At 53.0% G+C, this 1,537-nt stretch overlaps 1 annotated feature.

Moving 5' to 3' along the window:
* Positions 263-772: an enhancer, noted in NCBI's record as "NANOG hESC enhancer chrY:1330085-1330594 (GRCh37/hg19 assembly coordinates)". NCBI's record gives its function as "activates a minimal SCP1, AML or CMV promoter by ChIP-STARR-seq in naive H9 embryonic stem cells {active_cell/tissue: H9 hESC(naive)}" and the evidence as "EXISTENCE:reporter gene assay evidence [ECO:0000049][PMID:30033119]".

Consider the following 1,537-nt stretch of genomic DNA (forward strand, 5'->3'; position numbering starts at 1 on the left):
GAGCTCCTGACCTCAACTGATCCACCTGTCTCGGCCTCCCAAAGTGCTGGGATTACAGGCGTCAGTCAATGAGCCCGGTCAGCAAGAGATTGTTTTTGTTTTGTTTTGTTTTGTTTTATGTTTTGAGATGGAGTTTCACTCTTGTCGTCCAGGCTGGAGTGCAGTGGCATGAACTCAGCTCACTGCAACCTCCGCCTCCCAGGTTCAGGTGATTCTCCTGCCTCAGCCTCCCGAGTAGCTGGGATTACAGGCGCCCGCCATCACGCCCGGCTAATATTTCTTTGGTGTTTTTAGTAAGAGATGGTGTTTCACCATGTTGGCCAGGCTGGTCTTGAACTCCTGACCTCGTGATCTGCCCACCTCAACCTCCCAAAGTGCTGGGATTACAGGCGTGAGCCAGCGAGCCTGGACCAGAAGCTTGAGCTTTTTGTCATGGAGAATTTCCAGTTGGGAAGGAGTTATCTGGACAGGATCATTCTGATCACGGTGCCCCAGGGAGACCCCTGTGAGGGGCGCTTTCTGTCATGTAGAGAACAAAGAACAGCCTGAATGAGAAGCTCTCTGGCAGCATCATCAATGCTCCCAACCCGGCAGAGGGCAGGTGCTCTGCAGACCCCTCCCCACAGCTGAATGGTTTCTCCCTGGGGAAGCTGAGCCCCCCTCCTTGCCCCTTAATCCCATTCCCCTGAGAGCAGAGCTTCTATTTCTTTTTTTTTCTTTTCTTTTCTCTTTTCTTTTCTTTTTTTCTTTTCTTTCTTTCTTTTTCTTTTTTTTTCTTTTTTTTTTTTTTTTGAGACAAAGTCTCTCGCTCCTGTTCCCCAGGCTGGAGTGCAATGGTGCGATCTCAGCTCACTGCAACCTCTGTCTCCCGGGTTCAAGCAATTCTCCTGCCTCAGCCCCCCGAATAGCTGGGATGACAGGTGGCTGCCACCATGCCCGGCTAATTTTTCTATTTTTAGTAGAGACAGGGTTTCACTATGTTGGCCATGCTGGTCTGTAACTCCTCTGACCTCAGGTGATCCTCCCGCCTCCACCTCCCAAAGTGCTGGGATGACAGGCGTGAGCCACCGCGGCCAGCCCAGAGCTTTTATTTCTTATCTCTGCATTCCCCCAACTCAATCTTCTCCCCAGCTCCCCTGCTCCCCTACTCCACCTCCTCCCCAACCCACCTCCTCCTTCACCTGCTTCTAGCCCCTTCCACGAAAGCTGATGTCCCTTGTGAAAGAAAAATAAATCGCCAGGCGCGGTGGCTCACGCCTGTCATCCCAGCACTTTGGGAGGCCGAGGCGGGCGGATCACGAGGTCAGGAGATCGAGACCATCCTGGCTAACACGGTGAAACCCCATCTCTACTAAAAATACAAAAACTTAGCCAGGCGTGGTGGCGGGCGCCTGTAGTCCCAGCTACGCAGGAGGCTGAGGCAGGAGAATGGCGTGAACACGGGAGGTGGAGCTTGCAGTGAGCCCAGATCGAGCCACTGCACTCCAGCCTGGGCGAGAAGAAAGAAAAATAAATCTCTGGGCCCCGCTGGGAACTG

The sequence above is a fragment of the Homo sapiens genome, chromosome X, assembly GCF_000001405.40.
Source record: "Homo sapiens chromosome X, GRCh38.p14 Primary Assembly".
Lineage (NCBI taxonomy): Eukaryota > Metazoa > Chordata > Mammalia > Primates > Hominidae > Homo > Homo sapiens.